We start from the raw sequence: 15,248 nt of genomic DNA, 5'->3' as shown, positions 1-15,248 counted from the left end.
AAAATGGATTAGTCCAGGAGAGTCTCATGTTTGCTTTGAAGTATGCTGGATCTGAGATGGAAAAATACAAAAACAGGGCCAGATGGTCCTCTGATTTGAAATCACCAGAAAGTCTCTGTGAACTCCACGTGCCTGGTCCCCAACTACACGTGTCCTGCCAGAAAATGCACTCAAAATACCTCCTCACCTTGGATGTTACTTTGATTCACCTACAGTGTTTGGTGAGGCAGCAACTACAGGGCAGGCCCGGCCACTGAGCAACCAACCGAGTCCTGGGACCTCCAATGACCAAATTCCATCAGGATACTGTTACGGGAAAAAATCGGAAACTTGGAATCTAAAGCAAAAAACGTAGTGAGTTCTTTCAATGTCATCTTGGGGCACTGTGTTTAATGGGCTCACTCAAGAATTATTTAATTAATTAGGATATTTAATTAATTAGGGTACCTTTGTTTGACTCATCATCTACTTTTTTTTTTGAGACGGAGTCTCGATCTGTTTCCCAGTCTGGAGTGCAGTGGCGTGATCTCAGCTCACTGCAACCTCCGCTTCCTGGGTGCAAGTGTTCCTCCTGCCTCGGCCTCCCAAGTAGCTGGGATTACGTTCCACCATGCCCGGCTAACATTTGTATTTTTAGTAAAGACGTGGTTTTGCCATGTTGGCCAGGTTGGTCTCAAACTCCTGACCTCAAGTGATCAGCCCACCTCGGCCTCCCAAAGTGCTGGGATTACAAGCGTGAGCCAGAGCACCTGGCCAACATTTTTTTTTTTTTTTTTTGAGGCAGGGTCTTGCTCTGTCACCCAGGCTGGAGTACAGTGGTGTGATCATTGTTCACTGTAGCCTTGAATTCCCAGGCTCAAGCAATCTCCCACCTTAGTCTCCTAAGTAGCTGGGACTACGGGTACGCACCACTGCACCCCACTGATTTTTTAATTTTTTGTAGAGACGGGGTCTCACTGTGTTAGCCAGGCACCGTCACCTACTTTTAATTAAAGGCTTGGATTTTGTGAAGGTTCATGTTAACTTGTAAACTTTTGTTGGATAAAAATAAAAATAATTTCTGTCCATTAAAAAATAATAACCCAAAATTTAGGGCTTTATCCCCGCTAGAACATTAACCAGAAATCTTATTCTAACTCTTTTTTCTCCAGTGCCTAAATAACCTCTGGTCCTTTCTTCTTCTTTGAATCAGCTTTACCGTGCTGCTGGTTTTCTCATTTATGACTTGAACAAATATTTGACATTTGCTCATTCTTGTATTTGACTCATGTTTTTAACTTTTGAAAAGTATACTTGACAATCCTGAGCCTCTATATGTCACAGATATAGAGTGGGACTATAATAGAGTGGGACTATAATAGTATTCCTTCCATAGCTGGGTAGCCTTTGCCTGCATAGCATGTCCAGGGTCCCCAAGACTACCCCCAGGTTCAGTGATTTGCTGGGAGGACTCACAGGGTTCAGCATATAGTTATTGTCACGTTGGTGGTTTATTACAGCAAAAGGATACAAAACAAAATCAGCAAAGACAAGAAGTGCACGGGGCAAAGTCTGAAGGAAAACAGGCACAGGCTTCCAAAGCCCTCTTCCTATGGGAAGGGACACATTCTTTTCCTCTAGCATTGATTTATTTTTTTTTTTTTGAGATGGAGTCTCACTCTGTCAGCTCACTGCAACCTCTGCTTCCTGGGTTCAAGTGATTCTCCTGCCTCAGCCTCCCAAGTAGCTGAGATTACAGGCATGCACCACCATGCCCAGCTAATTTTTGTATTTTTAGTAGAGAAGGGGTTTCACCATGTTGGCAGGCTGGTCTCGAACTCCTGACCTCAAGTGATCCACCTGCCTTGGCCTCCCAAAGTGCTGGGATTACAAGCGTGAGCCACCACACCCAGCCTGACAACACTTTTCAAGTGTGGCCTACCAGGGTAGCTCAACAGAGACTCAAAATTTAAGTTTTTTTATTGGGGATTTTAAAATATAGACACACTCTACATAACACATACCAAAATTCCAGGTGGGTGGAGGCAGGGTGAAGGGTGGGCTGGACGCAGAGAGATGTTTGAGTCTGCAGAAGCAACACTTGGACCCCCAGGTACCCACCCCAACTTCCTGCACTTCACTCAGGAAACCTGAAGTTTCTGCTCTGGCCAGAGCAGAGGAGGGGGATGTGGCCCCGGATTCAATGGAAACCCTTATTCTAAACAACCATCTCCAAACCCCTCCCCAGTCTAGTTCCCAGGATTCCTACAGCCAGGCATCTACCCTCGATCCCTGTGGGAGACTGGAGAGAGGACCCTTCTCCTGGGAACTGATTGACAGATGCTGGCATGTCAGTACCTCCCACTAAAAATATCTGCCTTGCTGTCTCTAGTGGACATTTGTCATGGTATTTGTCTTTCCAGCATTTTGTGAACATCCTATATTTGGGGAACTTCTTACCTTAAAACTCCATATATCCCCACAGTAGAAGCCAGAAATTCTTTCCCAGACTTAATTGCAGCTAAGGCCCAGGAGTGTGACCAACACACCCTGAGTTAGGCATCCCCATGTGAAACTAGATTCGGAGACGAGTGACGATAAGCAGGCTGCTCCGGGAAGCCATTCTGATGTGGGGTCTTCAGAAACTCCCTGCTCTCAGAGGTACTGGAGGCAGGGGCCCGGCAGGAACAGCCTATTTTGTCAGCATGACCCCACAGTGCCTGTACCTGGTGGTGGTCTGGCAGGATACTTGGGGTGCCATTCCTGGCTGCGCTGTCTGTAACTATGTTTCCCCAATGATCCCCCTAATTCTGGGAGTTTCCCAATATCCTTTGCAAGGTTCCTTTTCAGCATGAACTGGCTCCAGTTCTGTGGTGTGTAGCTAAGAATCCTAACTTCAACACCAACCACCAGTAAAAAGCCAGTCATAACTTAACAAACACCTACCCCCATCCTCAAGCTGCAGAAGGTTCGTGAAAGGTTCTTAAATCAATGCCTGTACAATAAGAAGGGACATGAGACAAATGCCTCCAACTTGAGAGAGACAAAAACAAGTCATGTAAAGGAACTTATAGCAGTGCAAGAATAAATAGTAAAACAACTTAGAATACCTCCAGCCATCAGAAAATGTTGTATTCATCAATGAATAGGATACCATAAAAAGGAACTAATTTACAAGAGCTTTCTATAATAGCCAATATTAAAATGCAATTAAAAAGTTGGATTACAGCCAGGCACAGTGGTGCACACCAGTAGCTCCAGCTACTCAGGAGGCTGAAGTGGGAGGTTCACTTGAGCCTAGAAGTTCGAGACCAGCCTGGGCAATATAGCAAAACCCCATCTCAAAAAAAAAAAAAAAAAAAAAAGTTGTATTATATAAGACATAATGTATTTGCTTAGTTTTTGTTGTCTGTTTCTCCGCTGGAAGATAGAACTGCTTGAGGGCCTTGTTTATATAGTACTCAGCACACAGAGCAATGCTGGCCCAGCATCCCATGGTAGGCAGGGCTATACAAACTGGCCCCAAAGTCTAAGGAAGCCGAGAGGCCAAAAAGGAGGCTGACAAATCTGGTTTCTTAGAAAGAAACACTTAATAGGGACGTAGGAACAGAAGCCGTGTCTGTGTCTTGGGTGGCTGCCAGGCAAGATGGCGGATCCCTGAGCCATCACCCCGCAGACCCAGGGCTTTTATACTCTAGGGAAGGGTGGTTCAGCAGGGATATGTGGGACAACTGAAGTACAATAACATCAAGGTTGTTGGATCTAAGGGCAGGATTGACTGTAAGGACATGCTCTTACACAAGGAACAATAGATAAGCTGCAAATCTTAGAGGCCTTCATGGAACAAGGGTTAATCAGAATCCAACATGGCAGATCAGCGTCCAAGATGGATTTGCTTTGTCCTCCACACCCAAGGTAGGGGCTCAGTAGCTATCTGTTGAATGTGAAGGATGGTGGGATACACCACCAAAAAATATGCCACTTTGGCATAAAATTTATTTCGAGCTAAAGACACTTGAAAAATAGCAGGTGCAGGAAGGGTGATCTGACCTCCTCTTTTCTTTTTGAAGAGGAGATAGGCCGGACGCGGTGGCTCACGCCTGTAATCCCAGCACTTTGGGAGGCAGAGGCGGGTGGATCACCTGAGGTCAGGAGTTTGAGACCAGCCTGGCCAACATAGTGAAACCCCGTCTCTACTAAAAATACAAAATTTAGCTGGGTGTGGTGGTGTGTGCCTATAATCCCAGCTACTCAGAAGGCTGAGACAGGAGAATTGCTTAAACTCAGGATGCGGGGGTTGCAGGGAACTGAGATCATGCCACTGCACTCCAGCCTGCGCGACAGAGCAAGACTCTGTCTCCAAAAAAAAAAAAAAAAAAAAAAAAAGCAAGCAAGAGATAAAACTGCCATGTGGAAGATGCCCTCCCTATACCAGGAGGAAAGAACCATTCTTATCACCAGAGATGGAGAGTCAAGGTCGAGATAATTCTATACAAACAGGCCTTGTTTAAATAACTCTTATCCTCCTCTGGTTTCCTGTACATTTTAGTTCCTTTTCCATAATTGCCTCTTTTTGTTTAACTCAGTATATAACCAGTTAGGTTTTGCCACTTTGGGTCTCCATTTTTCTATGGGGGCTCCCAAGTGCATGTAAGAATCTGTACACTTTACTTTGGCTAATCTGTTTTATGTCAATTTAATTCTCAGGCCCAGCCACAAACCCTAAAAAGTATAGGTAAAATTTTGCCGCCTTCACAAGTGTATAAGTAAATGAATGACCCTCTCCCTGAAAAGTAGAAAATAAACAAAGAGATCAACAGTAGTTAAGAAAAAGTATAAAATAATAAAAAGTAGTCTGGAATGTCTATTAGGAATTCCAGACACAGAGAAAAAAAATTAAAAGGCAAACGGAATTCCTAAAAAATAAGAAAATTCCCCAGAACAAAACAAGAGTTTCCATGAACTAAGAACCCACTGAGTGATCAGCCTAGTCAATTTTTTTAAGCCACACTAGGTGCATCATTGTAAAAATTTCAGAACACTAGAGATGAAGGAGGTCCTAAGACCTTCTGGAGAGAAGAAAACAGGTAATAATCAAAGATTAGGACTTCTCAGCTGAAATATTGGAATTGCTAGAATACAGGGGACTGATGCTTTCAAAATTCTGAGGGAAAGTAATGATCAAACCTGGGGTTCTGTACCCAGGCCAACTAGTAATTGAGTATGAGAATACGAAAAAGACATGTTCTGGTCGGGTACACTGGCTCATGCCCATAATCCCAGCACTTTGGGAGGTGGAGGCAGGCGGATCACTTGAGGCCAGGAGTTTGAGACCAGCCTGGCCAATATGGCGAAACCCCATCTCTACTAAAAATGCAAAATTAGCTGGGTGTGATGGCGCAGGCCTGTAGTCCCAGCTACTCGGGAGGCTCAGGCATGAGAATTGCTTGAACTTGGGAAGCGGAGGTTGCAGTGAGCCGAGATCGCACCACTGCACTCCAGCCTCGGTGACAGAGCGAAACTGTCTCAAAAAAAAAAAGACATGTTCAGACATGAAAAATCACCAAAAAATTATATACCCTTTTTCAGAATTATGGGGACACAGTATCGAGAAAACAGAGATCCATTATAGGATGGCAAAGCAAATAGCAAAGAAAAATGGATGCAAAGCAGAACTAGAGTGATCAGTCCAGATTGTACCAAGAAGACAAAGAGCTCCAAGATTTAAAAACAGAAAAGAGAAACTGGAAAGGTTTGTGTGGAAAATTATATTGTGAGGTTAGAGGATGTGGAAAGAATGAGAGAGAAACATCAAGAAAACAAAGCAAATGAAAAAAAGAGTGCAGTTAACTCCAGAAAGAAAAGTTATATGAGAAACAATTATAGCTCACTTACTTGGCTTATCAACAAACTATGTTTGCATAGTTAAAACAGGGTAAATATTAATTATTGATTCATCAAAAATATGCAATAGTTTTATTGGTTAGTCAGTTGGAAAGGAGGATCAAATCCTCATTAATAAATCCCATACATGATTGATAAATTAAAGATATTAGTAAAAGCTTATTATTTAGAAATGTGGACGTAAATACCAAAAAAAAAAAAAAAAAAACCTAATAGTTGAAAGCAAGGAGGGATAAAGCAGGAACTGTTTTTTTGGTTACAAACTTTTGATCATTATTTAATTTTTTAATGCATTTGTTGCTTTGTTAAAAATATAAAAATTAATTTCAAAAAAGTCATGCTGGCTAATACTGTAGAAACCAATTGGAGGGGACTCCAAGTAGAGACAAAGAGAGTAGGAAGTTGAGGCTACATAAGCAAAGAGGATGGAGGATTTAAGTAAGGTAGTGGTAAAGGGAATGGGAAGGTGGGAATGGAGTGGAATATTTGCAGTAGAAATGATGGGACCTGGTGGCTGGAGGAAGGAGAAGGAACAAGAAGAGGGAGAAGTCTAGAATGATAGGTTCCTAATTTGAGGAACTGAGTACTCTCTGAGAAAGAGAACGGAAGGAAGAGCAGCCTTGTGGGTGATGACAGCAATTTAAGTTATGGACAAAGCTGAGGTGGCTAGATATCCAAGTGGCAATGCTAGATGGACATGGATCTTGAGTTCAGGAGAACGCTGGGCTGAAATAAGAGAATAAATTAGATCTAGCAAAGAAACCCAGCCAAGTCCCAAGGAAAGCTAACCCAAATGTCCCCTTAAGCCCCACAAGTGTATGAATCCTGGGTAGACTGCCAGGTGAGAGTAGAAGTTCAGCTGTTTATCCTCGGTGTGCTCTATTAACAACTCTCACCTGCCAAGTGCCACAGCCCCTCAGCCCTTGCCCTTTGTTTCTCTGGAAGCCCTCATGTTAGGAAATGTCTTCCAAAACGTTCATGCTACTGTTCCCATTTCTCCCATACTTCTGATTCACTTGCTTCTCACCTTCCCCATCTACTGTCGTACACTGCTTCTCATTCATCAGTTTGATGCCAACCAAGATGGTCCACTGGAATACACAGCCAATTGGCACGAATCCATGCTTGACCTGATATCCCTTGGGAAGCTGAGTCTCTGCTACCAGCATCTGGAGCTGTTACTTGTGATTTTGGAATCCTTGTCACTAAGGCTGACTGCACCACAGCACTGCTCAGGCCACCCATAATGGTGGAACTGACACCAATGAGAAATCAAGATGAGGGTCTGAAGGTCATAGTACTGTAGAGGAACCCTGAAATGCCCAATTCCTGTCCTACCACACATCACATCTCTACTCACAGGGTCCCAACAGCTATGAACAGGAAAACACTACCTAAATGAGAAACAAATGCCACTTTATTCATAACTGAGGCAGTACTCTATAATCCATAGGCAGGGATCTGATAAAAACTGAACTGAGTCTCTCGCAAGGGTGGAAGCCAAAGACCAGGTTGAGGAGAGGCTGGTCAGACTTTGGCACTGCACATGGGAGGTAGTATCTTCTTGGGATATTTGTATTACTCCAGAAAGGTGAGAAAAGCAGCTGGTGTGCAATAAGAAAAGCAAGGCCAAGAGCCCAGGCAGGCTCAACAAGTGGCTGCCTGCATTCTGGTCCCAGTGTCAGGCCTTCTGAAGACAACATACTGCTTTTTTTTTTTTTTTTTGAGATGGAATCTCGCTGTCAACAGGCTGGAGTGCAGTGGTGCGATCTCAGCTCACTGCAACCTCCGCCTCCCAGATTCAAGCGATTCTCCTGCCTCAGCCTCCCAAGTAGCTGGGACTACAGGTGCGCGGTGCCATGCCCAGCTAATTTTTGTATTTTTAATAGAGACAGGGTTTCACCATGCTGGCCAAGACGGTCTCGATCTCTTGACCTTGTGATCCGCCCCTCGGCCTCCCAAAGTGCAGGGAGTACAGGCGTGAGCCACCGCTCCTGGCCCATACTCTCTGCTTTAATTCTGAGCTACCAATACACGTTTTTTATAAACACCCACTTTTGATTTAAGCTCACTTGTGTTTGTTGCCTGCAACCAAGAGACCACTGAGGAAACTGGTTCAGCATCAATCATGTCGTCCTGACTGCATTCCCAGCATTAGAATAGCACTGGCCACAGTTGGTGGGTAATCCACACTTGCTGAAGGAATGAGGGGTATGTGCACTGGTCCTAAAGAATAGGTCCAGTCTGTTTAATTCAGAAGTTACAATCAAATTTATATCATACTTACCCAGTACGCAGTAGTACCCAAAGGGCTACTGTGAATCCCAAAGTGAATATGGAGATTTGCTGAAACTAACCTTAAAGCGACCACTAAAGCTGTGCCTAATAGCAACATGAAAGAAATATAAATCTACATTAACTAGTTTCAGGAAATCAAGCTTATGGAAGCTCTATGTGAAATTTCACAGCAATCTTTCACTCATGCAAATACAGAGGAACACCTCTTGAAAATGCAGATAGTAGGCCGGGGACCGTGGCTCACACCTGTAATCCCAGCACTTTGGGAGGCTGAGGCAGGCGGATCACAAGGTCAGGAGATGGAGACCATCCTGGCTAACACGGTGAAACCCTGTCTCCACTGAAAACACAAAAAATTAGCCAGACATGGTGGCAGGCGCCTTTAGTCCCAGCTACTCGGGAGGCTGAGGCAGGAGAATGGCATGAACCTGGGAGGCGGAGCTTGCAGTGAGCCGAGATCGAGCCACTGCACTCCAGCCTGGGTGACACAGCAAGACTCCGTCTCAAAAAAAAAAAAAAAAAAGAAAACGCAGATAGTTTCCTTCAAGAAAATATTTATTGCATATTATTAGTGATTATGTTTTACAGCAAATTTAAATACATACACTTTTCACAAACCCAAAATGGGAATCAGGGCAACTATCAAATTTAAATGTTGAACCAAGTCCTGGTTTTCAGAATTCAGCAGCCAGTCATGGTTCTGTACCAGGGCCACCAGTCCATGATTTCCAATAGTTGAGGATCTTTTCTGTATTTGGAACAAAATCTTCTTTATATGTGACAACTGTTTCCACATAAAATCCTTTTGGGCGTTCAGAGAGTTCACTGGGTACTTCACTTGCTGAGCCATCCTTTTGGTCTACTTTATCACCATTAAGAGAAAAAAAAAAAAAGAACACCTGAATTATTAACTTAGAAAGCAGTCATTAAAGTCTTAGAAATTAACTAAGGTAAGAATTACATCCACTCTCTCCAACCCCAATAATGAAGGAAGGAATGAAAAGGAAGGGAAAAGAAAAGCTGGGTGCGGTGGCTCACGCCTGTAATCCCAATCTCACTTTGTGGGGGCCGAGGCAGGTGGACCACCTGAGGTCAGGTGTTTGAGACCAGCCTCGCCAACGTAGTGAAACCCCATCTCTACTAAAAATACAAAAATTAGCTGGGCGTGGTGGCATGGGCCTATAACCCCAGCTACTGGGGAGGATGAGGCAGGAGGACTGCTTGAGTTGGGAGATGGAGGTTACAGTGAGCCAAGATAGCGCCAGTGCACTCCAGCCTGGGCGACAGAGCTAGACTCTGTCTCAAAAAAAAAATAAAACAATTCGCCGGGCAGCAGTGGCCTGCGCCTGCAATCCCAGCTACTCGGGAGGCTGAGGCAGGAGAATCACTTGAGCCCGGAGACGCAGGTTGTGGTGAGCCGAGATCATGCCACTGCACTCAAGCCTGGGCGACAGGGTGAGACCTTGTCAAAAAGAAAAAAAAAAAGAACGAAAGAAAGAAAACATAAATATGGACATTAAAATATTTTTACTTTATATATAAATGTAAAGTATTTTTACCATATATTACATATAAAGTAAATATAAAATATTATATATAAAAATTTCTTTTTCTTTTGGTAGAGATGGGGGTCTCCCCATGTTGCCCAGGCTGGTCCCGAACCCCTGGGCTCAAGCAATCTCCCACCTCGGCCTCCCAAAGTTATGGGATTACAGGCGTGAGCCACTGCACCCGGCCAAAATGTTTTTAAATGCTTAATGCTGGACACATGTACTTTCAGGCCACTGACAGCTTCATCACCAAATGTAATCTTCAGCATAGTTTTTACACAACAACTTTACTGAGATATAATTAACATATACGATTAACCCACTTAAAATATACAATTTAATGTTTTTAGTATATTCAGATTTGTGCAACCAGCACCACAATCAATTTAAAAATACTTTCATCCACAAAAGGAATCCATACCTTTGGCAGTCATTCCCCAACTCCCCAACCCCTCAGCCCCTAGCAACCACACTAATCAACTTAATGTCTCTACAGATTTCCAGCATATTTTTCAAAGCTGAGAGACTTTTCTCCCTTTGCGCTTAGTAACTGGAAGATTTTAATACGCCTTGGCTGCTAAAAGTACTGAAATTGCTCGCCATATACGATGAGGGACAGTAGTACTGAAGCATCACTCTTTAAAAATCACCGGCCAGAGTCTCTGAAAGTCCACCTTGCACTTTACACAGATTCCTCCAATTCTGAATATGGGGACGGCCCTATCCAGTAAATGATTCAGATTTAGGAAACAATATTTACAAGGTATTAATAATTCCTGGAGTCTAGTTCTTTGCAGATTCCATTATAACAAACGGCTGTTAGCACCCGTTTCAATTAGTTTTGCAGAATAAACCTGGGATTTAAAGGACAGGGAAGTTGTTTCCATGACCCCCGGGGAACTCTCATCGAAGGCCGTGTGTTCCGGGGCAGGCCCCGCCGAAGAGCCCTACCTGACGACTTCGCCATTGTCCGGCTATAGTAAAGCAGTGAGCCCAACACAGACCAGGTGCCGATCCCGTAGACCACCGACATCCGCCGGTACCAGGCCGTGAACTCATTTCGATACATGGGTACGCCAGCGAGTGCCTCGATTCTCGCAGGCCCACGGCAGAGGCGGGACTTCCGGTGAGGGCGTCGCTGCGGTCCCTGCCGCCGGAACCATTAAGGAGCCGCCAGTTTTCAGCGTCCGCTTCCGGCTCTGCCCCGATGCACCTTGGGGCCTCTGGCCCGGAAAGTCGCTCAGGTGTCCGGACTTTCGGGTGTAGAACTGTGGGCGTGCGATACTTTTTACCACGTGACGAGGACTAAATGACAACTTAGAGGAGAAGCTTCTCACTTGCAAAATTGTAATGCCTTCGTGGGCTCCAGACGGTATCCGAAAAGGTTACTTCCAATTCCTCTTCCAGTTTTCAGATTTGCAGGGATACCGCTTGTCTCTCCCCGCAACTCTTCTTTTCCTCCATTTTTCTTTCCGGAACTCTGGGTGAACTTTAAATACTTCCAGGCCAAAGCTAATCCCTCCACTAGGCTCTGGGTACTATTTTTTCCAGCCTCAGTGGCCTTTCCCCTCATTGACACCCTAAGTCCTCCCCCATCTTCATTATTGACGTTTATCCTTCATACAAACGTGCCCATGTCTCAAAAACAAAAAATCTCCTTCGACTCCGACCACCTCCAGCTTTTGTCTTATGCATACATTTTTTAAAGCAAGATGCCCTCAATAGACTGAACAACTTAAGAGCAAGTGTGATGTGCTTGGCACAAGGTAGGCCCGGTAAATTAACGTTAAGTACTTTTCAGCCACACTCAAACTTGGTTTCGAAAGCATTTGCCACCACTGACCCCACCTGCACCTTTCATGGCTTCAGAAACATCATTTTCCCTGGTATCCTTCAGGGTTCTTTTCACCTTGCCCACCCTTTAAAAACTGATGTTCTGCCCTACAGAAATAGATAAAAAACTTAACTCTGAATGGATCGCTGACTTAAATGTAAAAGCTAAAACTATTTAATATAAGCCTAGAAAAAAACCAGGAGAATATGTTTGCCATCTTGGAATAAGCACAGAATTCTTAGAATAAAAAAGGCATCCCAAGCGGGGTGGCTCATGCCTGTAACCCCAGCACTTTGGGAGGTAGAGCAGGGAGGATTGCTTGAACCCAAGAGTTCCAGACCAGCAAGGCCAACATAGTGAGACCCCATCTCATTTTATATATATATGCATAAAGCGAAAATGGATAAATAGGGCTTTTAAAAAAAAATTAAAATTTTTGCTCTTTGAAGGTCACAGTTGAGAAAATGAAAAGCCAAGCCACAGAATAAAATATTCATAATAACATATATCTAACAAAAGGACTTGGATCCAGAATATATGAGGACGCTTTACAACTCAGTTATAAAAATACAGCCCAACTAAAAACCAGGCAATAAATTTGAATAGAACGAAAGAAGATATACAAATGACCAATAAGCACAGTAGCATCATTAGTCATCACAGAAATGGACATTAAAAGAATACAATAAGAGACCATTACACACCTACTAGAATGGCTAAAATCAGATTGAGAATGCCAAGAGCTGTAAGGATTTGGAATAATTGGAACTGTTATTGATGGGAACATAAAATGTTACAATCTCTTTGCAAAACTTAGTTTTTAAAAAGTTGAACATATGCCTACCATATAACCCAGGCATTCCGTTTCTAGTTATCCATGAGAAATGAAAACCTGTGTCTGCACACAGCCATGTACATGAATGTTCATAGTTTTATTCTTAATAGGAAAAAATAGAAACCACCCCCAATACCCATCGAGTAAATGGCTAAACAAAACGTGGGATACCACTTACAAATAAAAAGGAACTACTGGCTGGGTACGGGTGGCTCACACCTGTAATCCCAGCACTTTGGGAGGCCAAGATGGGTGGGTCACCTCAAGTCAGGAGATCGAGACCAGCCTGGCCAACATGGTGAAACCTCGTCTCCACTAAAAATACAAAAATTAGCCGGGCATGGTGGCGGGCGCCTGTAATCCCAGCTATTCCAGAGGCTGAGACAGGAGAATTACTTGAATCCAGGAGGCGGAGGTTGTGGTGAGCCGAGATTACACCACTGCACTCCAGCCTGGGTGACAGAGTGAGACTCCTTCTCAAAAAAAAAAAAAAAAAAAAAAAAAAAGAACTACTGATAAATACAACCATACGATGAATCTCAAAATGGATTATGCTAAGTGAAAAAGCAAGCTAGACACCAAAGAAACCAGTCACGAAATTCTAGAAGCAAACTCCAGTGGGAGAAAGCTGATGAGTAGTTGTCTGCAGTAAGGGCATGGAGAGAGGGAAGGGCTAAAAGGGTCTGAGGAGACTTTGAGAGGTGATGGTAATGTTCTGTATGTTGATTATTGTGGTGGTTTCTGTCAAGATTTATCCAATTGTATGCTTTAAATGGGTGCAGTTTATTATATGTGAACTATAGCTCAATAGTTATAGACAAAACAGAAAAATTGGTATTGTTTCAAGCTTGCGTCTCTTCTCATCCTTCTCATCAGCCTTACTCATGATACCTATGTTATATGTTAATAACTCTCAAATCTACTCCAGATTCTCTGAAAGCAAATTCATGTTACTGCCAACCTGCTATGCATCCTCGGCTGCATATTCCACAAGCTCCTGAAACTAAAAAAATGTTCCGAATTGAATTTATCAATGCCACTCCCAACAGGAAACAAACCTTCCCTTTCTCTTCCCTGATTCAGAGAGTGATTGAGAAATTGCCCAAGCCAGGAACTTGGAATCATCTCACCTGACATCCTCTGTCACCTCTGTCTAAATACCCTGTCTCTGTTTAGGCCTCATTTCTCACTTGGATTACAGTCTCCTCTCATCCTTCCCCCTCTGGAGTGTCTTTCAAACCTTAAATTATCATTTCACCCTCTGCCTAAGATAAGTCAGAGGCTTGCCCTACCTTCAAGATGGAGTTCAATACCCACAAAAATTAACAATTAATAAAAAGATGGAGTTCAGAGTCCTCACTGGGCATACTGGGCTCAGTGGCCCCTTCTCATGATAGCTGTTTTCCACACAGCACTATCACCCTGCCACCCCCTACATTCTGTGGAAAAACGTCACTGGTACCCTAAGGTGGGACCTGCATGGCCATGTCATACCATGCAGTTCCCTCAGCTCCTTAACTCACTGACACTAGAGAGAACCGCAGAGTTAGCTGGGTCTATCACACAGTCTTTTTTCTGTTAATTTGAAACAGAAAAGCCAAAGAGGATGTTTTGGCCTTAATCTGTACAGACAACTTTATGTATTCTTCTATATGATGTGTTAAAAATTATATCCAAAACTAAAAATATTCTTGGAAAACGCACAGAAAAATGTAAATGTTCAACTTTTTTTTTTTTTTTTTTTTTTGAGATGAAGTCTCCCTCTGTCACCCAGGCTGGAGTATAGTGGCGTGACCTCAGCTCACTGCAACCTCCACCTCCGAGGTTCAAGTGATTCTCCTGCCTCAGCTTCCCAAGTAGCTGGGATTACAGGTGCCCACCACCACTCCTGGCTAATTTTTTAATATTTTTAGTAGAGATGGGGTTTCACCATGTTGGCCAGGCTGGTTTTGAACTCCTGACCTCAAGTGATCTGCCCACCTCAGCCTCCCAAAGTGCTAGGATTACAGGTGTGAGCCACCGCACCTGGCCAATGTTCAACATTTTAAGATAGGAAACTCTGCTAGAATTCTGCTAGAATGTAGGGCAGAGACAAAAAGAAATACAATAACTTGTATTCGAATACAAATTCAAAACAGAGTATTGCAATCAATCCAGCTGTTCCAACATCCAATTAATAGGAGCTTCCAGCTTCATTTTCCTACATAGCACTCATTACCTTCTAATGTATCATTTACTTCATTTCTTTTTTGTTTTTTATTTTTTTGAGACGGAGTCTCGTTCTGTTGCCCAGGCTGGAGTGCAGTGGCACAATCTCACTGCAACCTCCATCTCCTGGGTTCAAACAATTTGTCCCTGCCTCAGCCTCCCAAGTAGCTGGGATTACAGGTGTGCACCACCATGCCTGGCTAATTTTTGTATTTTTAATAGAGAAAGGGTTTCGCCATGTTGGCCAGGCTGGTCTCAAACTCCTGACCTCAGGTGATCCGCCCACTTCGGCCTCCCAAAGTGCTGGGATTACAGGCATGAGCCACCACGCCCGGCCATATCATTTACTTCTAACATTGTTATTGTTGGTCTTCCCTAACTAACACATAAGCTCTATGAAAACAGGAATTTTTGTTTTATTGGCAGTATTCCCAATGCCTAGAAGACTACTCCATAGACAACAAGTACCGGATAGTTATTTGTTGAACGAATGAAAGAATGACTCCAAAGTTCTGAGATTATCTTGGGCCTATACTTTTTAGACCCAGTGGGTTAGTCTGTCTTTGGATCTCTGTAATGGAACACCCGAGACTGGGTAATTTATTTTAAAAAGAGGTTTACGGTTTATGCTTATGGCTTA

General features: G+C 43.5%; 1 protein-coding gene across 2 annotated transcripts, besides 2 other annotated features; it reads right to left on the bottom strand.

Annotated features, from left to right (window-relative positions):
* Positions 1-8,667: 8,667 nt before the first annotated feature.
* On the bottom strand, positions 8,668-10,847 carry SMIM26 (small integral membrane protein 26). Of its 2 annotated transcripts, none has more exons than NM_001348958.2 (2): positions 10,683-10,847; positions 8,668-9,040 (listed from the first exon to the last, which is right to left on the bottom strand). In NM_001348958.2, the coding sequence occupies exons 1-2, from the start codon at positions 10,798-10,800 to the stop codon at positions 8,874-8,876; spliced, it is 285 nt and encodes a 94-aa protein (NP_001335887.1). In that variant the 5' UTR covers positions 10,801-10,847; the 3' UTR covers positions 8,668-8,873. The 2 variants fall into 2 exon arrangements, with proteins under 2 accessions (NP_001335887.1, NP_001335886.1); NM_001348957.2 differs by having other exon boundaries at positions 8,719-9,043.
* Positions 10,714-10,996: a silencer, noted in NCBI's record as "fragment chr20:18547927-18548209 (GRCh37/hg19 assembly coordinates)". NCBI's record gives its function as "represses an EF-1alpha promoter that drives an FKBP-Casp9 reporter gene in an ReSE screen in K562 erythroleukemia cells {active_cell/tissue: K562}" and the evidence as "EXISTENCE:reporter gene assay evidence [ECO:0000049][PMID:32094911]".
* Positions 11,060-11,159: an enhancer, noted in NCBI's record as "active region_17592". NCBI's record gives its function as "activates an Ori minimal core promoter by ATAC-STARR-seq in GM12878 lymphoblastoid cells {active_cell/tissue: GM12878}" and the evidence as "EXISTENCE:reporter gene assay evidence [ECO:0000049][PMID:35858748]".

This window comes from Homo sapiens, chromosome 20, assembly GCF_000001405.40.
Source record: "Homo sapiens chromosome 20, GRCh38.p14 Primary Assembly".
Classification (NCBI taxonomy): domain Eukaryota; kingdom Metazoa; phylum Chordata; class Mammalia; order Primates; family Hominidae; genus Homo; species Homo sapiens.
This window is presented reverse-complemented; position numbering and strand designations above follow the sequence as displayed.